Genomic DNA, 25,804 nt, shown 5'->3' with positions numbered 1-25,804 from the left:
CATTTGAAAGAACTATGCTAAAAGTATTCTTCCCTGAAACCTGATAAAAGAGTGTAAAATACGGCTTTATCATCACTAGAGAAGTAAAAAATATGCATCAATTTTTCAAACTCCTTTTAAGAATCAAAAGTCTCACATGCCATTACCTTATTTTTCATAAATTTAGAATGGCTCCGATACACTTCCATTTGCTTCATTTCTTCTTCCCTTTCCTCAGTACTCAAAGCACCATTCGATTTCAGCATCTGAATTTCCTCTTCCAGGTCTCGAAGCCCACGCTCCATAGAGGAAATTTTTGAATCCTGAAGACAATGGAAGATTTAGTGATTGAAGTATTCACAAAAACCCAGAAAAGCTGAATAACATGATATTTAAAGAAGTTACATTTAATAAAGATAGACAAATATACAGAAAAAATGCTGTCTGGCAATTGGTGCCTTGCTTCCTTTTTTTGAGACAGAGTCTGTCGCCCAGGCTCTAGTGCAGTGACGCAATCTTAGCTCACTGCAACCTCTGCCTCTGGGTTCAAGCAGTTCTCCTGCCTCAGCCTCCCAAGTAGCTGGGATTACAAGTGTACGCTACCATGCCCAGCTAATTTTTGTATTTTTAGTAGAGACAGGGTTTTGCCATGTTGGCCAGGCTGGTCTCGAACTCCTGACCTCACGTGATACACCTGTCTTGGCCTCCAAAAGTGGTGGGCTTATGGGCGTGAGCCACCATGCCCAGCCAGTGCCTTCCTTCTAAAATACGTCCTTTACAGCCATTTGAGTGGGAGGAGAAGCACTCATATCCACAGTATGATTTTTCTTCTATGGCTGCCTCCAGCTCTGCACCCTTTAAATTAAAGTTGAAAATAATTACTAAATTACTGAAGAAGTAAATGCAATGAAAAACTGGTTAAAATTTCTTTGCATCAGAAATTACAAATTTCTGGTGAAAAAAATTTCCAATATTAATAGTAAAGCCTTTTCTAGTTCTAGTATTTTATCATTTTACTTGGTGACCCCTAAAAAACATATTATGCCCCAAAGGAGGGGAAAAAAGTAAGAGGGTTTCAAAGATTTATACAGTAACGTGTACAGCTATATGTGCAATAATAAAAATTACATAACATCCCACTGCAGAAAAATGGGGGAATAATTAAGTTATTTATCATGTTAGCAATCCTTATTGTCTGTACTTCATACATTTAAAATAATTCTTAATTTTTAAAAATCACTGTCCTTATAAACCATCATCTCTACCACAAATATCACCTTCCAACAGAACATTATTTCATATTCGATCTCTTGATTTTGTTTGTCGCAGTACCTAGTTTCTCCCCAGGCTACTTTACATGTCATGAATTACAGAAAGACTCCTACATGGAATGAATAGTTTTATGTATCTGTAGCTGCAGGTGCTTACTCACCAAAGAAATAGAGACCTTAAAGAGCATAAATTAAGTATAGCTTAGCTTTATTTCACTTGGAGTTTTAGATAAACCATTCCTTTGGAAGCTATTTTGAAATTAACTCCTTTTCTACTTTACCTCAATAATTTCTTGATTAAGTCTCCTTTATTCTCAGAGCATAAAGATGAGAGAGATTAAGGCTTTATATCGAGAAAACTACACCTAGCTATTTTCAGGTTCAAGGGAGGGGAGGAGAGGATGTATTCCTCTGTCTTGCTCATCACGTGACCTTTAAAAATATCACAATGAAAACTGTCTTTTATAAATTCATTCAAATTAAACTTAAAATGTACCTGTTCAAAATCCATTGTACTGAATTAATACAATCAGAGTCATTCTATACCTAAACCAGGATTTTTATTTACTCATGTGGAATGACTGACCCATAAAAAGTACTACTTCAATTGCACTACCTGAAAATTCACTTTTAAGATTGCTATAAAATTTCTCTGGAAATATCAGAACACAGCACCTTAAAAAAGACTAAAATACTAGGCATAAGCATATGACTAGCCTACAAATGAAAGAAAGTGAAAGTTAAAGGTAAGTTCTCCTCTGTCATCAGCCTGAGTGGTAATGAAACTGGACCAGCTGAAAGAGGGAAGTGTATCTCCAGCAGCACTGGGGCTCCACTCAAGACAATTTAGTCCCAGGTAAGAACTCCAACTCTGTACATCACATGGCAGCCGGAACCTGTACAGAGCCTCTAGAAAGTCTCTACAAGGCCCTTAAAAATATAATCTAACTTCTCCCCTACCCTAAACACAGACAAAGGCAGCTTTTGACAAATTAGCACCCTCACTACCAAATCATGAGCCATAAAACCTTCTTCCCAAAAAGGGATCATGACTCCAGCTCTGAAAACCAGGAGGCAGGTACTGACTGACCAGAAGAAGAACCTACCAAGGAAATCAGGCCAGAAAATTAAGGCCTGATACTCTCAACTAGTTCTAGCACCAACCCAACGGGTACCAATGCTGGGTTTAAGGAAAGTCATTCCAACCAGGTTTCTTATTCCTAGAATGTGTAATATTTAAATAAAAAAATTCCTTTTCACTTTACTACTCTGTACTTCCCCAGCCCCAGCCCTTCCATCATTAACCAACCAATCCCACTGGACTTACTGAAATCCTCTGCTCTTTGTCAAATTCCCCAAATTCTCAACCTTTTTCCCATGAACTCTCTCCAGTGAAGGTCAATAACACCCCAACACCACAAAGGAGCAGGGGAAAGGGTTGACATTCTCCCAGTTCTTCAAGGCTGTTTCCCTTTATGGAAAGCTCATACTCCTTTTCACCCTACCCTCCCCATTGCTGCCATCCAGGGACTTCTCCATCACTCCTGCCCATTTTTGGAAGTCTTTGGCACCTGGCTTACAATATCCCCTTCAATCACCACTCTTGCCATAATCCGAGGATTGCAATGTCAGAATTCTTTGACGCCCTTAATTGCAATGATCTCATCCTCCAGTCCATTTGGGTGATCCAGTTTATAGGACTGATGGATCCTATCATCATCCAGAACTCTCTTCCCCTGGCCTGTCATACCCTCACTCTGATTATTTCCTGTTCAACCTCACAGAGAATTCCACTTTCCTAACTTTTACATTTTCTCCCAACCTGTCAGTCCACCTGAATTTTACTCTTTCCAGATCCAGGGTACAGTCCAGGACCAACGTCCAAACTACTCTGTCATCATCACCCTCAATTCATTTGCATCCCAATCACTCGCTCTGCTTTATCTATCCCAGCAAAACTCTAACCCTAGAGCAGTACAGTCATTCTTCCCTGTTCCTCCACTGGTAAAGGAAAAACAAACAAACAAACAAACAAAAAAATAGTAGAGAAAGGGGAGGAAGAGAAAGAGAAGAAGAGGAACAAAGAAGGAAAGGCTGGAATGAGGGAAAATGGTGGGAGAAGGGATAAGAAGAGGAAAGAGAGGAAGAAGAGGCGAAAGAGGAGAGGGCAAAGAAAATTGCATCACCTTCAAGATTACTGGGCTCTTTTACTTCAATCACCTTTCTTCCCTATTTTCCCTAAAGACTACACTAGATTTTCATAATTCTCTGAAGCTCATTCCACATTCTCAGCAACACAGCTATTTCTGTTGTGATTTCAGCATCACATCCTCTTGACCCCACTGGGCCACCAGAATCTTTCTCCTTCTTAGCAGAATGGCTGAAGGTTCACACAACTTAAAATGCATCCATTGCCACCAAGTAATACTATTACTCGTCCTCATTCTGTCAAAAGGCAGTTAAACAAATCATTTTGTGGACATAGGTACATTCATGTGTTTTATTCTTAGGTGTTAACAAGGGATCAGGAAATAACACAACAAACTTGTGGTGAATGTGGAAAGGGTAAAACCATGCAACTGAACGATTCTAAAGGCCCTTTACAAGATTATACTCAAGACTACCAATTAACTACAAAGAACCCAGAATCCACTAATTCGGAATTTGTTTGGTAAATCCTTTCCCCACCGAGAATAAAGATGTATACGATATAAAGTTTTAAGAGGAAATCATCCAAATTAAGACAACAGTTCCCATAACTACTTCAGAAGTATCTATTTACATAAAATTATTTATATACCATTGACTAAATATTCTTGTCATATCAACAAATATTAAATGAAGGCCCACAATGCAAAACACAGTATTGAGCTTTCTAGAGGATATGAAGAAGTAGTTGTGGGGGGAGGTCCCTAACTACATGAACTTTTATGAGAAAGAACAGATTGTGAACAAAAATAACAGCTGCAACAGCTAGTATGGATTGAATGTTTACTATGCGCTAGGTCCTGTTCAAAGTGTTTTTACATGTTTTAACTAATTTAAACCTCAAAACGACCCACTGGATGAGTACTATTACTATCACCATTTGTTGATAAAGAAACTGAGGCATAGGTAATTTGCTCCATATCTTACAGTTGGTTAAGTGAAGCGAGATTTTGAATCCAGGGAGTTTAACTTAGAAAGCAAGCTCTTAATCACTATACTGAACAGCCTAAAGATTTCTAAATATTCATTAACTTAAGGCAGAGGTTTTCAAAGGATGGTCTATGGAACTCTCAGGGTACCCTCAACCCTTTCACAAAGTATGCATGATCAAAACTATTTTCACAATAATACCATGATGTCACTTGACTTTTCCACTGTCTGCACTAAAGATATACAGCAATGATGGGCAAAACTGCTAGTGCCTTAGCACAAATCAAGGCAATGGCATCAAACCATACTTGTAGTCATTATATTAATATTTGTCACGTCAAGTACTTGTAGGAAAAAAATGAAAAATAAGAAATAAAATTTTTAAAAGACTACTTCATTTAATACCGCCCTTGAAGAAGCAGTAAAAAGTATTACTTTTAATAAATCTTGGCCAGGTGCGGTGGCTCACACCTGTAATCCCAGCACTTTGGGAGGCCGAGGCGGGCGGATAACGAGGTCAGGAGATGGAGACCATCCTGGCTAACACGGTGAAACCCCATCTCTACTAAAAATACAAAAAATTAGCTGGGCGTGGTGGCAGGCGCCTGTGGTCCCAGCTACTTGGGAGGCTGAGGCAGGAGAATGGCGTGAACCCGGGAGACGGAGCTTGCAGTGAGCCAAGATCACGCCACTGCACTCCAGCCTAGGCGACAGAGCGAGACTCCATCTCAAAAAATAAAAATAAAAAATAATAAAAAAAAATCTCAACTCTGGAGTACACATACTTTTAATATTGTGTGTGACAAATGGAATGAAGCTGCGTACTGAAATACGATGGCTGTCCCTAAGCACAGGACTCGTGTTGCTTTGAGTTGTAAACTGAATTCAGTATTTTCTTCACGGAACACTATTTTTACTTGAAAGAAAACTGACAAGCTATGGTTACCCAGACTTGGTATCTGGCAGACATTTTCTTAAAATGAAGGAAGTGAGTCTGTCATTTTAAGAGAATAAAGGGGTCCTGAGACCAAGACATCTGCGAATAGCTGATTTAAAGAAATTCTGTTCAACTCTTTTTGGTCCAATTTGAATTATGGTCTACAAGTAAAAGGAAATAAAACTGAAATTCTTTTAAGATGTCATTTTCATTGATTCTCACTCTTAATCTCCAAATAAGTGAAATACTATTACATGCCATTTCCTAACACTCACACATGGAAGTTTTTGATCACTTAAAAGTATAAGGTAATTCATAAGATTCTTTACTAGATTCTCACTTACCTTCATCTCAATAACAGTTTGCAGAGCTTTTGTTTTGGCAGAATCAGGAGCATTCTCAAACCTTCGATGCATCTCCTGTAGAAAAGAGGCAGAAAGAGATTCAGTGCTCTCCTGTTCACCCTCATTTTTTTCAAAGAGGAGTGAGAGCCGATGTATGCAAAAGATCACTACAGCCTTATGAGACAATGACCCCTTCTGTGTTACCAACCTTTCCCTGTGAATCAGGGAATCCACAGACTGCATTCAGGCTCACTCAACCATGCAGGCATAGGAGGATCCCTATCTCTGAACACCTAGTTATTTAAAATCAGTCACACAGACACGAGCTACCATAACAGCTGAAACTACGATTTCACATCCTCAGGTTGTGTGTCAATCTTCCACATAACTCCGGGAAATATAATCAGAATTCCAAATGATCCAAAATGGGGATTAGAAATGCTCCCTTTTAAAAGGAGAAATAAATACCATCACAATCAGTCTGCATTGCTGACTGCAGCTGTGGAAAGCAATCTGTGTTGACAACATCCTTTCCACGGCATCCACCCCCAGAATAACCACCACCTGGTTACCTACGATGAAGCTCGCTCTCTAGTGGTGCTACAGTTAGGAAGAAAAACATGACACTGTTGAACAAGTTTCCTAAGTAGTTCAGGTTCAGAAAATGTCAGAAAAACATAGCTTTTTTTTTTTTTTTTACCCAAATTTTACTGAGTTCAGGATAGAAAAGGAAGGAAGGGATATCAGAGCCTTCCAGGTTACCAAACCACTTCAGTGATTTTCTTGTCAGACTCTGTGAATGTCTCTAAATAAATCAGTCAGTACTTCCAAGTACCCTGGGGACAGGCTCTTGGGAATCCAGGGAATACAGAGATGAATGCTTTCTGCTGCCTCTCTCCCTACTTCCAGCTTTAACTATCCACCTAGTCATCTCACTTTCATGTCCAACAAACATTTCAAACTCTACATGCTCAAAACTCAACTCCTGACCAAGCGTGATGACTCATACCTGTAATCCCAGCACTTTGGGAGGCCAAGGCAGGAGGGTCACTTTGGCCCAGGGGTTCGAGACCAGCCTGGGCAACATGGCAAGATGTCATCTCTACTCCTGATGGTGCCCCCAAACCTGCTCCATCCTTCCTGTTACTCAGGCCACAAACCTATGAGTCTTCTTAATGCCTTCCTTTCGCTCTCAAGCCGCAGTCAGGAAATCCAGTTAGCTCTAGCTTCAAAACATACCCAAAATCCAAGCACTTCTTGCCATCTCCACGGCCACCACCTGGAATGAACCACTAAACAAAAATATACCTTTTAATCCATAACAACCTTCTAACTGAGCTCTGCTTTATCTTGCTCCACTACAGTGTTTTCTTAATGGAGCACTTCAAGTGACCCTTGTAAACATAAAGTTGTCCTTGTCAGTCCTCTGCTGAAAACCCTGTCATGGCTCCCCATTCGACTCCAACTAGAGCCCAAGTCCTCTCGGCAGCCTGCAAAGGCCTCATCTCATCGCTCTTCCCTGGGTCTCCATGCTTTAGCCACTATGGACTCCTTGCTGCTCCTCAAATATGCTAAGCATGCTCCTGATCCTTAAGCCCTTTGCACAAGCTGCTAGGGGAAGACTTCACTTCTTTCCAGTCTTGGCTCAAATGCCTCTTTTGTGTTAGTATTAGGTTTAGTTGTTGTGATAATGCCATTGTCGCTATGCAAGAAAATGTCCATATATTTTAGAGACGCATATTAAAGTCTGCAGAGGAAAATGACGTCATGCCAGGGATTGGCTTTAAAATCTTTGGTAAAGAAAAGAGGAAAAAGAAAAAAGAATACATGGAGGAAGTGTGGCAAAATTTTCGAAACTGGTGTATCTGAGTGATGAGCATGTGGAGATTCATCATGCAGTTCTTACTGCTTTTGTGTAGGCTTGAAATTTTTCATAACAAAATGAATGTTCAACGTTTTCAGTATAATCTACACCTTATTTTAAAATTTAACACAGCCAAAAAAGAACGCATGTGTCCTTCCCCTTTACTTCGCTCTACTTTTTCCTGTGTATAGCACTTACCCTCTAACATATTTTATGATTTATTATGTTTACTTATTATTCTCTACGAGAATGTACGCTCCACAAAAGCTAAGATCTTTGTTTCATTCATTCACTGATGGATCCAAAGCACCTACAACAGTAGCTGCCACACTGGTAAGCGCTTAATAGACATTTAAGGAATGAATACTGAATGAATGAAATGGCTACCAAACGTTCAAGAATTAGCTAGAAAGGAAATATTTTAGTCCCTTCCTACTCCTGTGCTGAATTTTGTACACCTCCTATTTCTCATACAGCATGCTACACAGCTTACATAGCTCCATGAGCACTTACCCCATTGTATTAGCAATAGTTTTTCTTCTCTAACATACCATACTGTGAACTCTTTTAGAAACTGTCTTCTGTATTCCTCAGGCACTGTCTGATATGTAAGCAGTCGTTAAAAATTACTTCTCCTCTCTATCTGTTCCTCTTTTGTTAGATGAAGGAATGAATGATGAATGAATGATCAGCCAGTTTCTATCCTCACCTCTCCACTGAACCATACGATCTAAAATAGCAAATAAAAAACCTCCTTGTTTCTAAACCTAATAGTTATTGTCAGTTCACCTCCTTTGCAAACTCTAGCTGGTACCAGAAAAAAAAAAATTTAAGTTAAAGAAGGAACGTCTTTAAAATTTTCAACCGGCTTCCATTAAAGAATTATCCTAGCTCTAAACTCCACCCTTTTCCTTTCCTACCTGCAGACATTTTCTAAATTCCTGTCCTTGGAACATCTGGATTCTATAGCCTGAATCCAAAGCCTTCACTAATCCACAGAGTAACTTTATGCGAATTAGAAAAAAAGCAACCCTTCTTGGGTAGATGCAACATCACCATGAAGCACAGGCTGAATTTTAGGGCCTACGGGCTCCATCAGCAGGAAGCTCTTGTTTGGTGAACAACCCGTACAAATAACCATCCAAAATAGCCCTTCCCTAATCCTATGGTTTCAACTATTACCTTTACACGTATACCCCACAAAATCTATTTATCTCGCACCGTGGCAGGCATTCATCACTCTTCCTCGCCGTGTGATATCTGAATTCCTTAGCATGTGTGGGAACTCCACATTTAAAGGCAGAGTCTACCTCCCACAACAGAAATTGAAAATGCCACATACTTGTTGCCCAGCCTTTCTTGTGATTAAAGCCCAGGTACATGACCTAATCACCTCAATCAGACACATTCGTCATGTACTTTGAAACAGAATCTTGTGACATGAAGAAGCCGGGACATGAATATTTACAGACAATTCCAGCAGTGGGTGGCAGAGGCAGCAGCTACCTCAGGCTTCCAGACACACCAACAGCAGAGGCTCCAGTGGTGGTGAGCAGTGTCAGTGATGTCGGCGTAACACACTCACATGCCTGTGCCACGCAGCACTGTCATCACTAAAGCAATATAGAAGTGTGATTGATTCGAGGCATTATTCTTGTCTATATAACTTCGGAGCCCAGTTCTCTAGTCCTCCCAGAGGCTCTGGGACCTATGTATTTATCCCATTTATGCACTCCAGGAACTAAGTTTTGGAGATATAATAATGAGAAATAACATATTTGGTCCCTTTTATCATGGAAGCTTTAATAGGAAAAATAGAGTTTAATCAAATAATCATCTATGCAATTCATCAGGGTCACTGACGACCTCCACATTGCTAGCACCCATGATGCATCCTTAGTCACTGTACCTGACCAGCAGCATTTTACCCAACTGCTCAATCCCTCTTCCTTATTCTACTCTCTTTCCTTGGCTTTCAAGGTATGGCACCCTAAGCTTTTCCTCCTATCTTACCCTAAGCTTTTCTTCCCAACTCCTCAGGAGTGTCCCAAGCATCAGTCCTTTGTAGGCTTCTCTTTTCCACCTATACTCATTCCCTTGGTATTTACCGTTCAGTATCATGCACATACTGATAACTCCCAAATGTTTACCTCCTACTGAAATCCATACTCGTATGTACCTTTACTTTCCTGGAGTATCAAATATCTGCCCCACTGTTAACACATCTGCAAGTGACCTCCTGGCCTTCCCCTCTAAACTTGCTTCACTCATCCTGCCTTGATTCATGGTATGCATCCAGCCAGTTGTTCAAGCCAAAAACATAGGAGTCTCTTTTTTTCTTACACCTATATCCAACTCATCAGGAAATCCTGCTCTTCCCATTTTCAAAATATATCCTGAAACTTACCACCTCCACCATCACACTGCTCTAAGCCACCATTATCTTTTGCCTGGATTACACCAACAGTCTCCCAAATCTATCTCACCATTCACAATAGAGCATCTAGAGTGATCTTTTTAAAGCAGAAGTCAAAATATGCTTGCAATTATCAAAAGCTTCTCGTTTTACTCACAGTAAAAGTCACAGTCCTTATGCTGACCTAGAAGGCTCTACATGATCCGGCCCTGTTACCTCTCTGGCCTCATCTCTTATACTCCTCTCTCTCATCCAGTCGGCTCCAGCCAGACTCACCTCTTTGCTTTTCCTCAACATGTCAGTCACCCTCTTGACTTAAGGCCTTTCACTCACTGCTCCCTTTGACAGGCTCTCTCCTTCCCTTAACTGTTGAAGTCTGTTCAAAAGTCAAAGTCTCGGCTGGGAGCGGTGGTTCATGCCTGTAATCCCAGCACTTTGGGAGGCCGAGGCGGGTGGATCACGAGGTCAGGAGTTCAAGACCAGCCTGGCCAACATGGTAAAATCTTATCTCTACTAAAAATACAAAAAAATTAGCTGGGCCTGGTGGTGCGCACCTGCAATCCCAGCTACTGGGGAGGCTGAGGCAGGAGAATGGCTTGAACCCAGGAGGTGGAGGTTGCAGTGAGCCGAGATGGTGCCACTGCAGTCCAGCCTGGGTGACAGAGCAAGACTCTGTCAAAAAAAAAAAAAAAAAAAAAAAAAAAAAAAATCAAAGTCTCAAGCAGGCTCATCCTTATTACCCCATTTTCACTTATGATTTGACTCTAATATACATCCCCAATCTCCCTAACCAAGATCTACTTTTTTCTTGGTATTTATAACTGTTTGTTTATTGTTTGTCTCTCCTATCCCAGGAATTTTTCTTTTTTATTCTCTGATGTATATCAGCACCCAGAACAATACACAGTACAATGATAGTACTCAAATATTTGTCAAATGAATGAAAATACTTTTTAAGTAACTGTATAATTCATATGTAAAAAGTGTTATAAAGAAAATATCCACAATACTGTAAGAGAGTAATTAGGAGATCCTGACGTAGTCTTGGGATCTTGTAAAGTTTCCTAAGGAACACCTGAGAGCTGAAGGATGAACAGGAGTTAGAGTGGGCAAAGTGCAACCATAAAAAGGGAGGGGAAAGATGATCTCACAGGTATGTTTTCGGCCAACTAAAATCCAGAGAATGACACATGGGAGTTGAGAATCTGAAACTGCCCACACACCACTGCAGAGTCTCTGTGAACTCCAAGGTGTTCAAATGCCTGCCCTGAAGACAGCTGGTCCACACCTGCTATCTCTCCTTCTTCCTCTCCCTCTCCCATTCACTCTTTTTATTTTAATTAATTTTAAAATATTTCAGACATACAAGATTCCCTTTACCTCATAAAAGCAGCCTAATCTGGCTTGTTTCTCTACCCCTCCATTGAAACAACTCATCAAGACCACCAACGAATTCTAAGTTACCAACTCTAACAAACACATTTCTGTCCTCATCTCCCTGGAACTCTCAGAAGCATTCAAAGCAACGGCCCAATCCCTCCTAGACACTTGTTTTCTCTTGACTATTAGGACATCACACTCTCCTGTTTTTAGTTCTCACTCTCCAGTTGCACTTTCTCTGTTTCCTTCACAGGTTCTTCCTTCTAAATCAGACCTCCAGGTCTAAATTAGACCAGTGACCAGGTGATCAGTTCTAACCTTTTTCTCTTTTCCATCTAAACTCTTTAATCTACTACATGGTTTAAAATACAACGGAAATGCTGATGAATTTCTAGGCCTGCCCTCTGCTCTGATTTCAGGACTCATACATCCAACTGCCCATTTGGCATCTCTATTTAGATGTCTAACAGGCAACTCACACTTATTTTATCAAAAAAAATTCTTGATTTCCTCTTCTTCAATCTCACCCATCATCTGGTGACTCTGATGAGAGATGAGTCTTCTCTGTCTCATTAAATGGCACTGCCATTCCAGTGGCTCAAGCCAAACACCAAAGCTCTCCTTTTTCTCCTCCTGATATTCATTTCCCACAACCAAGTCAACAGCAGGTCCTAACTGTTCTAGTGCGGAAGTATTTCTTGAGTCTAACCATTTCACCCCATTTCCAGTCTAGTTTGCAACAGCCTCTAGTTAGCTTTCTTCCACCTCCTTTGTCTATTTTCAAGAGAGCACCAGGGTGATCTTGATAAAATATCCACAAATCATGGCATTAATCTGCTTTAAATCTTTCAATAAATTTACCATTATACTTCTCACTTTGACCATAAGGTGAGATGGGCCTTCCTGTCATAAACTATCATAAAATTAAACAAAATGCATGAAATAACTGTTTTCAGACCCTGGATAACAAGCAATACAGGACTATGATCCTTGAGAGAAAATAAACAAGGTGATGGCCCAGATATGTCTAGTATGGGGCGTAGGGAGGGAAAGCCCAAACAAAGAACAGCAGTCTTGCAAAGCTCCAAAGACAGTTTAATGAGTAAGGTTCCCATTAATCTGCAAAACTTTGCGGAGCAAAATACCAGAGGTCCGGGCACCATGGCTCACGCCTGTAATCCCAGCACTTTGGGAGGCCAAGGCGGGCAGATCACTTGAGGCCAGGAGTTCAAGACCAGCCTGGCAAACATGGCAAAACCCCGTCTCTTCCAAAAATACAAAAAGTAGCTGAGCATGGTGGGGGGCACCTGCAATCCCAGCTACTCGGGAGGCTGAGGAAGGAGAATCGCTTGAACCTGGGGGGCAGAGGTTACAGTCAGCCGAGATCGCGACATTGCACTCCAGCTTGGGCAACAGAGTGAGACTCTGTCTCAAAAAAAAAAAAAAAAATTAAAAATTAAAAACAAAACACAGAGAAGGGAGCTTACCAGAAAAGCAGCACTGTCTAACCTGACAAGGGTCCCCTTGAGTCTTTGGCCAAATACTAAGCTGTGCATGTATAGGGCAAGCTGCCACAAAATAAGATCAAGAGCTACTGGAGAAAGAGCAACTATCAGAGAGCCATGAGTTGAGTAACTACCTGAACCCCATAGGGCTGGGAAAAATTCAAGTTCCAAATAGTGGGGAGAACAGCAGAGGCATTTAGTAGAGACACTAAAAGGTCAAGCTTAGGAGTAGAGCTGATGTAGCCTAGAGAAAAGGCTATTCTAAACCAGGCCTAACAGAGTTTAAAAGCAAGTCTTGAAAGGATCAAGTTAATCCCCAAGTAAATTAACTCTTGCCAGACAAAACAACCCTTCATTAAGGAAGGTACCAAAATCCAGATACTCAATCACCTTGTGTCCAAAATGTCCATCATACCACAAATTCTATACACACGAAGTAGGAAAATATGACCTACAACCAGGAGAGAAGTCATTCCACTGAAATAAACATGGATATTACAAAGATGATGGAATTGTCATTCCAGCTAATAAGCCAAGAAATGCTCCAACTGCACGAGAAAAAAAAGGAGGAATTAAGGGCAAATCGGTAATTAAGAGATTTAAAGCATATTTTTGAAAAACAGACAAAACAAAGACATAATTCTTAGGGATGATACCTAGGAATGATATTAATTTAACATATAATACAAGATAACAATACTATGATAGTAAGGATCAGATGTGATAAGTATAATAAGCAAAGGCATGATAACTATAAAACCCAGAACACTGGTTACTTTTAGAGGGAAGGGAGAGTTCTGGCTGGGTTGGTTCACGTACAGGACTTCTGGGTGGCTGTGAAAGTTCTATTTCTAGACCTAGGTAGTGGTTATGAGGGTGCTTACTTTATAATTTACTTAACTATACACCTGTTTTATTCTATTTCTTACATGCATTCCATATTGTATCAAAAAAGAGTTTTTAAAATCTCTTAAAATTATTTGTTTTCTTCCATCCCAACACCTAACACATTAATTAGTTTAGGCCATAATAATCTCTCACCTGCCTTAAAACGACAAACTCGTCAGCCTCCTCCCAGCCTAGTTTGTCCATGTTGAATCTGTTCTGCACACTACAAGGTGATTGACTGGGCACACGGTAGATATTTAACAGTATTTGTTCAATAAATGAGTGTCGAACTTTAAATTGTCTGAGTAAAAATAAAATGAACTCTGCTAACTGTAAACAATCTTCATTTATTAACAAAATTTTATAACCTATACTTTACAACATTTTTATTTGGTATTTCTGTATCTACTTGAAAATATTAAAACTGCATTTTTTAAAAAATAACACACAATTTAGATTTTCAACTTATTTCATCTGATTTCTCCTCTTGAGCATCACCTAATTCCTAAAGAAAACCGAAAAATCCATTTGAATAAAAAGTCCTGACTGGGTGCAGTGGCTCATGCCTGTAATCCAAACACTTTGGGAAACCAAGGCAGGCAGATCACTTGAGCTCAGTAGTTCGAGACCAGCCTGGGCAACACGGTGAATCCCCATCTCTATGAAAAACACATAAAACTAGCTGGGTGTGGTGGTGCTCATGTGTAGTCCCAGCCACTTGCGGGGGCTGAGGCAGGAGGACTGCTTGAGCCTGGGAGGTGGAGGCCGCAATGAGCCAAGATCACGCCACTGCACTCTAGGTGACAAAGTCAGACCCTATCTCAAAAAAAAAAAAAAAAAATCCTTCCCTGCGTACAATAAAGAATTGGGGTGTATTTTAAACCATCCATAGGCATAAAGCTTTTCTACAAAGACGTTTTAAAACCCATTGCTCAAAACAAACTCCCATTCAGAAGCCTGCACCTTACAGTTCACTATGAACACATCTTCCAGTCAGTGAGCTCATAAGCTCCCCTTTCCCACCAAGCACATCAAGCCTATGCCTCCCGCATTGTCAATAGAGAGAGAAGACTGGAAATAGAAGTACTATTCAAAGAAGTGTAAGAAGTAGAATATGCTATTTGGTCACTTTATTTCACTCCTTTTTGGCTGAAAATTTTCATTTGAAAAAATTAGAGGTAGAAGTATCTGAATCTTGTTATATAGTCTATTTGTCTTTTTTTGTCTTAGTCCATTTAATGTTGCTATAATATACTTTCAAATGTGGTAGACCATAAAAAATATGTTCATTTTCTCTCCTTAAATAACTAAAGAATAATGACTAATTTATATTTAGAAAATAAACAAGTTAGAAACAATTTTTTTTTTTTTTTTGGTGCAGTGGCACAATCTCGGCTCACTGCAACCTCCACCTCCCGAGTTCAAGCGATTCTCCTGCCTCAGCCTCCCAAATAGCTAGGACCGCAGGCATGCACCACCATGCCTGGCTAATATTTGTATTTTTAGTAGAGACGGCATTTCAGCATGTTGGCCAGGCTGATCTTGAACTCCTGACCTCAAGTGATCTGCCCACCTAAGCCTCCCAAAGTGCTGGGATTACAGGTATGAGCCACCACGCCTGAGAAACAAAATTTAATAATTCTCCTTTTCCCTAGTTGTTTCTTTGTAAAAGTAAGTCAACTTTTACTTGCACACCTGAGAGAAAGAAGTATGTGTGACTAAAAAGTAAAACTTAGGTCTGAAAATTTTTTTTCAAGTTTCAAGTCTTAGCCCTCAGCACCCTTGGTTCAAGGATAGAAGCTCCACATTGTTCGGGAAGTCCCTTCACAGATTCAATTTCTGAATTTATCATACTGACAACACAGCGGAGACAGAAATAAAAAAGAAGGGAGGGTAAATGGAAAGAACTGTTACCACTTTTTCGTATCTTAACTTGCCCAGTGTCACACACCATTGTACCTGAACCCATTACCATCTCTGGTAATAGTAGTGTGCTCAGAAAATGTCACCTTGTCAAAATGGAAATGAAGGACAAATGATGTAATTTAAAAAGGAGAGGAAGGGCCAGGCACGGTGGCTCACGTCCGTAATCCTAGCATTTGGGAAGCCAAGACCAGCGAATCACTTGAGGTCAGGAGTTCGAGACCAGCCTGACCAATACAGTGAAACCCCATTTCTACTAAAAATACAAAATTAGCCCAGGTGTGGTGGCACACGTCTGTAATCCCAGCTATTTGGGAGGCTGAGGCAGGAGAATCACTTGAACCCAGGTGGCGGAGGTTGAGGTGAGCTGAGATCGCACCACTGCACTCCAGCCTGGGCGATAGAGCGAGACTCTGTTGCCAAAAAAAAAAAAGAGAGAGAAGGAATAACTTAAATAAATAAGGTATGCAACTGTTCTCATCTTCCAAAATTGCTACAAAAGACAAACTAAGAATTTCTTTTTCTTTTTTGGCCGGGTGTGGTGGCTCATGCCTGTTGTCCCAGCACTTTGGGAGGCCGAGCCGGGAGGATCACTTGAGGTCAAGAGTTTGAGACCAGCCTGGCCAACAAGGTGAAACCTCATCTCTATTAAAAATACAAAAATTAGCCAGGCATGGTGGCAGGCACCTGTAGTCCCAGCTACTCAGGAGGCCGAGGCAGAAGAATTGCTTGAACCCGGGACGCGGAGGTTGCGGTGAGCTGAGATTGCACCACTGCACCCCAGCCTGGGCGACAGAGCCACACTATGTCTCAAAAAAAAAAAAAATTTCTTTTTAAATTCCTATTCATTTTCTATGTTTTTCTATATATATATATATATATATATATATAGAAAAATATATATATTTATATAGAAAAATATACATTTATATATAGAAAAATATATATTTATATATAAATAAATACACATAAACATATATATATGTTTCTTTTTTTCTTTAATCTCCTCTGCTTATACCTTCTATCTGCCAGTAATACTGACAAACTGACAAGCAGTCCTCAGATATGCTAGTTAGATTCAGAATTCCCTAGCCTAGAACATATTCAAATATTAGCACTTTTAACCTCAAAGATTTTTGCAAACCTAACACGATAGCAGTTGTACTAATACGGTTTGTTGATTAAAATACAGACAAAAAACTAGTAGGCTGCAATAATGTTTTAAAACAAAGTTGTATTTTATTAATCACAATAGCATACCAGCATTTAAGTAAGTAGGAGCACATACTGAAATATATTATTTAGTTGGCCTATAGACAATGTTTGGTATGCATATGGATTGAAGACCCAAAAATTCCACAGCCAACTTAGGTATCCTCTGCTAGCGGACTGAAAACCAAAGTTGGGGCCTCAAATGTTGGTGTATAACAGAATCACCTGTCAAGCCCTCAGCACTAACCAAGTCTTGCCTGTAATTCAGCATTTGTCCAAGAGATGTCCCCACTCTTCTAACAGTCAAATGAAAGGAGCTACAGCGAAATAATACAAAAGCTAAGAATAAGCGGTCAAACAACAATGTGATTTGAGTACAAACAGAAAATACAATGCTTCATTGAAATCTTACTTTTTACCTCTCGGCTTTTGGGGGGGAGAATTATTTACCTGCCAGCTACAAAATCATGTTAATAAAGAAAACGTAAAACTAATTACAAATGTTACTACTAATAGCTACAAATGCCATTTTAATGCTATCTTATTTCATCAAATCTAAGATGCCACTGATTATAAGACACACCACTGTTGTACATGCTGAAAAGAAATAGTGGAAATGCCTCCAAATAAATCATGACACAAAACTTTATCATAAATTTAGGGTTTTGTTTGTTTGTTTTTGAGGCAGAGTGTCACTCTGCACGCTGGAGTGCAGTGGTGCAATCCTGGCTCACTGCAACCTCCGCCTCCTGGGTTGAAGCAATTACCATGTGCCAGCCTCACAAAGAGCTGGGATTACAGGCGTGCACCACCACACTCAGCTAATTTTTGTATTTTTAGTAGAGACAGGGTTTTGCCATATTGCCCAGGCTGGTCTCGAACTCCTGGCCTCAGGCGATCCGCCCGCCTTGGCCTCCCAAAGTGCTGGGATTACAGACGTGAGCCATTGCACCCGCCCTAGAATTTTTACTTAATACTGATTGCAAGAGTTAGTTTTTTTAAACTTATTTAAACAGAGTTTAATCACATACCATCATAAACTGTTTTCATAACTTTCTCCATACCGGGTAATTTTGTTTCAATGCTGATTCACAGAATATTTATGCAGAAACACTGAACAACAAAGTTAACATGGGAAATGCCAACAATGCTCATACCTCAGCTGAAATGATGACAAAATGAATGGACATGATTATATTTGTGAATACACGGGCAAACAAATATACCAGGACTGCTGCTTTGCTGATATAGACTGTTAACATGACACCAAGTGTTAACACTTAACTCAATTTCATTGTTAAAACAGGGAAAGTTGTGACTTTTAGAATTGATTAAATGTGGGCCGGGCGCGGTGGCTCACGCCTATAATCCCAGCATATTAGGAGGCCGAGGCGGGCGGATCACGAGGTCAGGAGTTCAAGACCAGCCTGACCAACATGGTGAAACCTCGTCTCTACTAAAAACAGAAAAATTAGCTGGGCCTGGTGATGGGTGCCTGTAATCCCAGCTACTCGGGAGGCTGAAGCAGGAGAATCGCTTGAACCCAGGGGGCGCAGGTTGCAGTGAGCCGAGATCGCACCATTGCACTCCAGCCTGGGCAACAGAGCGAGACTCCGTCTCAAAAAAAAAAAAAAAGAATTGATTAAATGCCACTTTTTTTTAAAAGATGGACAATAATTCAATAACTAATGAAATTTCTGGATACCCTAGCATTGCCAGCCCATAATTCTTTGTGCTGCTTCCTGATACGCTAGTGATATTCTGTACATCTCCAGCAATCATTTCAAGTCCCCATTCCCCTAATCTAGATTACAGCAGTTAAATTCCTTACTATACTCCCTTGTTCACTCTTCTCTCCTTCCTCCATTTATTCTCAGCACAACCAGAGTAAATTTTAAAAGCAAATCAGATTGTGTCACTCCCTTGATTCAACGGTGGAATGGTTTTCTCTCCCATTTTGAATAAAATGGTTGCATTATCTGCAAGGATCATAAAGGCAGGTACTTTTTCTCAAAGACAGCATGGATTTGTTTGCTGCTATATCCTTAGTGCTGTGCGCATGGTTGGTGTCCAGTAAATACGTGATAAGTGAATCTGACTCTGGCCACCTCTCCAATTTCGCATCTCATTAAGTCTTCCCCTTATACAGTATATTCTTGCCCTCCAGCCTCCCTCCTGTTTCCTCAAAACTCCTTCCTATGAGGTCTTTAAAACTGTTAATGCTTCTTCATGAAATTATTTTACTTGGCAAAGCTGGCTTCTTCTCTTCAGATCTCCACTGAAAGGGTACCTACTAAAGGACACTTACCCTGTTATAAAATCCCCTTCCCAACTTAATTAGCACTCCACCCAGAAAGTCTTTCTGAACAGTGCTGATGCACAGCATTCCATCCTTGTAAGATAAAAAAAGAAACAAATAATGAAGGAATCTATAAATAATAAAAATGGGGCTGGGTGCAGTAGCTTACGCCTGTAATCCCAGCACTCTGGGAGGCCGAGTCAGGCAGATCACCTGAGGTCAGGAGTTTGAGACCAGCCTGGCCAACATGGCGAAACCCCATCTCTACTAAAAATACAAAAATTAGCTTGTGCACGCCTGTTGTCCCAGCTACTCAGGAAGCTGAGGCAGGAGAATAGCTTGAACCCGGGAGGTGGAGGTTACAATGAGCCAAGATTGCGCCACTGCACTCCAGCCTGGGACAGAGCAAAGCTCTGTCACAAATGATAATAATAATAATAATAATAATAATAATAATAATAATAATAATAACAACAACAACAACAACAACAATAATAATAATAATGGGCCAGGCATAGGCATATTGCCTGTAATCTCAGCACTTTCAACAACAACAATAATAATAATAATGGGCCAGGCACAGGCATATTGCCTGTAATCTCAGCACTTTCAACAACAACAATAATAATAATAATGGGCCAGGCATAGGCATATTGCCTGTAATCTCAGCACTTTCAACAACAACAATAATAATAATAATGGGCCAGGCATAGGCATATTGCCTGTAATCTCAGCACTTTCAACAACAACAATAATAATAATAATGGGCCAGGCATAGGCATATTGCCTGTAATCTCAGCACTTTCAACAACAACAATAATAATAATAATGGGCCAGGCATAGGCATATTGCCTGTAATCTCAGCACTTTCAACAACAACAATAATAATAATAACGGGCCAGGCATAGGCATATTGCCTGTAATCTCAGCACTTTCAACAACAACAACAATAATAATAATGGGCCAGGCATAGGCATATTGCCTGTAATCTCAGCACTTTCAACAACAACAATAATAATAATAACGGGCCAGGCATAGGCATATTGCCTGTAATCTCAGCACTTTCAACAACAACAATAATAATAATAACGGGCCAGGCATAGGCATATTGCCTGTAATCTCAGCACTTTCAACAACAACAATAATAATAATAATGGGCCAGGCATAGGCATATTGCCTGTAATCTCAGCACTTTCAACAACAACAATAATAATAATAATGGGCCAGGCATAGGCATATTGCCTGTAATCTCAGCACTTTCAACAACAACAATAATAATAATAATGGGCCAGGCATAGGCATATTGCCTGTAATCTCAGCACTTTCAACAACAACAATAATAATAATAATGGGCCAGGCATAGGCATATTGCCTGTAATCTCAGCACTTTCAACAACAACAATAATAATAATAATGGGCCAGGCATAGGCATATTGCCTGTAATCTCAGCACTTTCAACAACAACAATAATAATAATAATGGGCCAGGCATAGGCATATTGCCTGTAATCTCAGCACTTTCAACAACAACAATAATAATAATAACGGGCCAGGCATAGGCATATTGCCTGTAATCTCAGCACTTTCAACAACAACAACAATAATAATAATGGGCCAGGCATAGGCATATTGCCTGTAATCTCAGCACTTTCAACAACAACAATAATAATAATAATGGGCCAGGCATAGGCATATTGCCTGTAATCTCAGCACTTTCAACAACAACAATAATAATAATAACGGGCCAGGCATAGGCATATTGCCTGTAATCTCAGCACTTTCAACAACAACAATAATAATAATAACGGGCCAGGCATAGGCATATTGCCTGTAATCTCAGCACTTTCAACAACAACAATAATAATAATAACGGGCCAGGCATAGGCATATTGCCTGTAATCTCAGCACTTTCAACAACAACAATAATAATAATAATGGGCCAGGCATAGGCATATTGCCTGTAATCTCAGCACTTTCAACAACAACAATAATAATAATAATGGGCCAGGCATAGGCATATTGCCTGTAATCTCAGCACTTTCAACAACAACAATAATAATAATAATGGGCCAGGCATAGGCATATTGCCTGTAATCTCAGCACTTTCAACAACAACAATAATAATAATAATGGGCCAGGCATAGGCATATTGCCTGTAATCTCAGCACTTTCAACAACAACAATAATAATAATAATGGGCCAGGCATAGGCATATTGCCTGTAATCTCAGCACTTTCAACAACAACAATAATAATAATAATAATGGGCCAGGCATAGGCATATTGCCTGTAATCTCAGCACTTTCAACAACAACAATAATAATAATAATGGGCCAGGCATAGGCATATTGCCTGTAATCTCAGCACTTTCAACAACAACAATAATAATAATAATGGGCCAGGCATAGGCATATTGCCTGTAATCTCAGCACTTTCAACAACAACAATAATAATAATAACGGGCCAGGCATAGGCATATTGCCTGTAATCTCAGCACTTTCAACAACAACAATAATAATAATAACGGGCCAGGCATAGGCATATTGCCTGTAATCTCAGCACTTTCAACAACAACAATAATAATAATAACGGGCCAGGCATAGGCATATTGCCTGTAATCTCAGCACTTTCAACAACAACAATAATAATAATAACGGGCCAGGCATAGGCATATTGCCTGTAATCTCAGCACTTTCAACAACAACAATAATAATAATAACGGGCCAGGCATAGGCATATTGCCTGTAATCTCAGCACTTTCAACAACAACAATAATAATAATAACGGGCCAGGCATAGGCATATTGCCTGTAATCTCAGCACTTTCAACAACAACAATAATAATAATAACGGGCCAGGCATAGGCATATTGCCTGTAATCTCAGCACTTTCAACAACAACAATAATAATAATAATGGGCCAGGCATAGGCATATTGCCTGTAATCTCAGCACTTTCAACAACAACAATAATAATAATAATGGGCCAGGCATAGGCATATTGCCTGTAATCTCAGCACTTTCAACAACAACAATAATAATAATAATGGGCCAGGCATAGGCATATTGCCTGTAATCTCAGCACTTTCAACAACAACAATAATAATAATAATGGGCCAGGCATAGGCATATTGCCTGTAATCTCAGCACTTTCAACAACAACAATAATAATAATAATGGGCCAGGCATAGGCATATTGCCTGTAATCTCAGCACTTTCAACAACAACAATAATAATAATAATGGGCCAGGCATAGGCATATTGCCTGTAATCTCAGCACTTTCAACAACAACAACAATAATAATAACGGGCCAGGCATAGGCATATTGCCTGTAATCTCAGCACTTTCAACAACAACAACAATAATAATAATGGGCCAGGCATAGGCATATTGCCTGTAATCTCAGCACTTTCAACAACAACAATAATAATAATAACGGGCCAGGCATAGGCATATTGCCTGTAATCTCAGCACTTTCAACAACAACAATAATAATAATAACGGGCCAGGCATAGGCATATTGCCTGTAATCTCAGCACTTTCAACAACAACAACAATAATAATAATAATGGGCCAGGCATAGGCATATTGCCTGTAATCTCAGCACTTTCAACAACAACAATAATAATAATAATGGGCCAGGCATAGGCATATTGCCTGTAATCTCAGCACTTTCAACAACAACAATAATAATAATAATGGGCCAGGCATAGGCATATTGCCTGTAATCTCAGCACTTTCAACAACAACAATAATAATAATAATGGGCCAGGCATAGGCATATTGCCTGTAATCTCAGCACTTTCAACAACAACAATAATAATAATAACGGGCCAGGCATAGGCATATTGCCTGTAATCTCAGCACTTTCAACAACAACAACAATAATAATAATGGGCCAGGCATAGGCATATTGCCTGTAATCTCAGCACTTTCAACAACAACAATAATAATAATAACGGGCCAGGCATAGGCATATTGCCTGTAATCTCAGCACTTTCAACAACAACAATAATAATAATAACGGGCCAGGCATAGGCATATTGCCTGTAATCTCAGCACTTTCAACAACAACAATAATAATAATAATGGGCCAGGCATAGGCATATTGCCTGTAATCTCAGCACTTTCAACAACAACAATAATAATAATAATGGGCCAGGCATAGGCATATTGCCTGTAATCTCAGCACTTTCAACAACAACAATAATAATAATAATGGGCCAGGCATAGGCATATTGCCTGTAATCTCAGCACTTTCAACAACAACAATAATAATAATAATGGGCCAGGCATAGGCATATTGCCTGTAATCTCAGCACTTTCAACAACAACAATAATAATAATAATGGGCCAGGCATAGGCATATTGCCTGTAATCTCAGCACTTTCAACAACAACAATAATAATAATAATAATGGGCCAGGCATAGGCATATTGCCTGTAATCTCAGCACTTTCAACAACAACAATAATAATAATAATGGGCCAGGCATAGGCATATTGCCTGTAATCTCAGCACTTTCAACAACAACAATAATAATAATAATGGGCCAGGCATAGGCATATTGCCTGTAATCTCAGCACTTTCAACAACAACAATAATAATAATAATGGGCCAGGCATAGGCATATTGCCTGTAATCTCAGCACTTTCAACAACAACAATAATAATAATAATGGGCCAGGCATAGGCATATTGCCTGTAATCTCAGCACTTTCAACAACAACAATAATAATAATAATGGGCCAGGCATAGGCATATTGCCTGTAATCTCAGCACTTTCAACAACAACAATAATAATAATAACGGGCCAGGCATAGGCATATTGCCTGTAATCTCAGCACTTTCAACAACAACAATAATAATAATAATGGGCCAGGCATAGGCATATTGCCTGTAATCTCAGCACTTTCAACAACAACAATAATAATAATAACGGGCCAGGCATAGGCATATTGCCTGTAATCTCAGCACTTTCAACAACAACAATAATAATAATAACGGGCCAGGCATAGGCATATTGCCTGTAATCTCAGCACTTTCAACAACAACAATAATAATAATAACGGGCCAGGCATAGGCATATTGCCTGTAATCTCAGCACTTTCAACAACAACAATAATAATAATAATGGGCCAGGCATAGGCATATTGCCTGTAATCTCAGCACTTTCAACAACAACAATAATAATAATAATGGGCCAGGCATAGGCATATTGCCTGTAATCTCAGCACTTTCAACAACAACAATAATAATAATAATGGGCCAGGCATAGGCATATTGCCTGTAATCTCAGCACTTTCAACAACAACAATAATAATAATAATGGGCCAGGCATAGGCATATTGCCTGTAATCTCAGCACTTTCAACAACAACAATAATAATAATAATGGGCCAGGCATAGGCATATTGCCTGTAATCTCAGCACTTTCAACAACAACAATAATAATAATAATGGGCCAGGCATAGGCATATTGCCTGTAATCTCAGCACTTTCAACAACAACAACAATAATAATAATAATGGGCCAGGCATAGGCATATTGCCTGTAATCTCAGCACTTTCAACAACAACAACAATAATAATAATAATGGGCCAGGCATAGGCATATTGCCTGTAATCTCAGCACTTTCAACAACAACAAACAACAATAATAATAATGGGCCAGGCATAGGCATATTGCCTGTAATCTCAGCACTTTCAACAACAACAACAATAATAATAATAATGGGCCAGGCATAGGCATATTGCCTGTAATCTCAGCACTTTCAACAACAACAACAATAATAATAATAACGGGCCAGGCATAGGCATATTGCCTGTAATCTCAGCACTTTCAACAACAACAACAATAATAATAATAATAATGGGCCAGGCATAGGCATATTGCCTGTAATCTCAGCACTTTCAACAACAACAATAATAATAATAATGGGCCAGGCATAGGCATATTGCCTGTAATCTCAGCACTTTCAACAACAACAACAATAATAATAATAATGGGCCAGGCATAGGCATATTGCCTGTAATCTCAGCACTTTCAACAACAACAACAATAATAATAATAACGGGCCAGGCATAGGCATATTGCCTGTAATCGCAGCACTTTCAACAACAACAATAATAATAATAATGGGCCAGGCATAGGCATATTGCCTGTAATCTCAGCACTTTCAACAACAACAACAATAATAATAATAATGGGCCAGGCATAGGCATATTGCCTGTAATCTCAGCACTTTCAACAACAACAACAATAATAATAATAATGGGCCAGGCATAGGCATATTGCCTGTAATCTCAGCACTTTCAACAACAACAACAACAATAATAATAATGGGCCAGGCATAGGCATATTGCCTGTAATGTCAGCACTTTCAGAAGCCAAGGAGGGAGGATTGCTTGAGGCCAGGAGTTCAAGACCAGCCTAGGCAACATAGGGAGACTCTGTCTCTACAAAATTTTTTTTTTAATTTAAAAATTAACAATGCATGGTGGCATGCACCTGTAGACCTACCTACTAGGGAGGCTAAGGCAGAAGGCTCACCTAAGCCCAGGATTTCAAGGCTGCAGTGAGCCATGATCATGCCACTGCACTCCAGCCTGAGTGACAGAGTGAGACCCTATCTCTAAAAATAAAAACAATAAAA

General features: G+C 39.7%; 1 protein-coding gene across 53 annotated transcripts in view, besides 1 other annotated feature; it reads right to left on the bottom strand.

Moving 5' to 3' along the window:
* The window catches only part of ERC1 (ELKS/RAB6-interacting/CAST family member 1), a 505,975-nt gene that overhangs the window by 385,440 nt on the left and 94,731 nt on the right, over positions 1-25,804 (bottom strand). For 52 of the 53 annotated variants that reach the window (NR_027948.3, NR_027946.3, XR_001748631.3 and 49 more), the window contains 2 exons: positions 5,670-5,744; positions 147-302 (listed from right to left, as the gene is read on the bottom strand). The exons of the other annotated variant lie outside the window; for it this stretch is intronic. Coding sequence is in view for 49 of the 52 variants with exons in the window: in XM_047428566.1 (XP_047284522.1) it covers positions 147-302; positions 5,670-5,744 (231 nt within the window). In the remaining 3 variants the exon portion in view is untranslated. The remainder of the gene's footprint in view (positions 1-146; positions 303-5,669; positions 5,745-25,804) is intronic. 53 annotated transcript variants of the gene reach the window in all.
* Positions 15,399-15,548: an enhancer, noted in NCBI's record as "active region_5795". NCBI's record gives its function as "activates an Ori minimal core promoter by ATAC-STARR-seq in GM12878 lymphoblastoid cells {active_cell/tissue: GM12878}" and the evidence as "EXISTENCE:reporter gene assay evidence [ECO:0000049][PMID:35858748]".

This window comes from Homo sapiens, chromosome 12 (genome assembly GCF_000001405.40).
Source record: "Homo sapiens chromosome 12, GRCh38.p14 Primary Assembly".
In the NCBI taxonomy this organism is placed as follows: domain Eukaryota; kingdom Metazoa; phylum Chordata; class Mammalia; order Primates; family Hominidae; genus Homo; species Homo sapiens.
The sequence above is the reverse complement of the archived record's forward strand: the minus strand, read 5'-3'. Positions and strand labels throughout refer to the sequence as shown.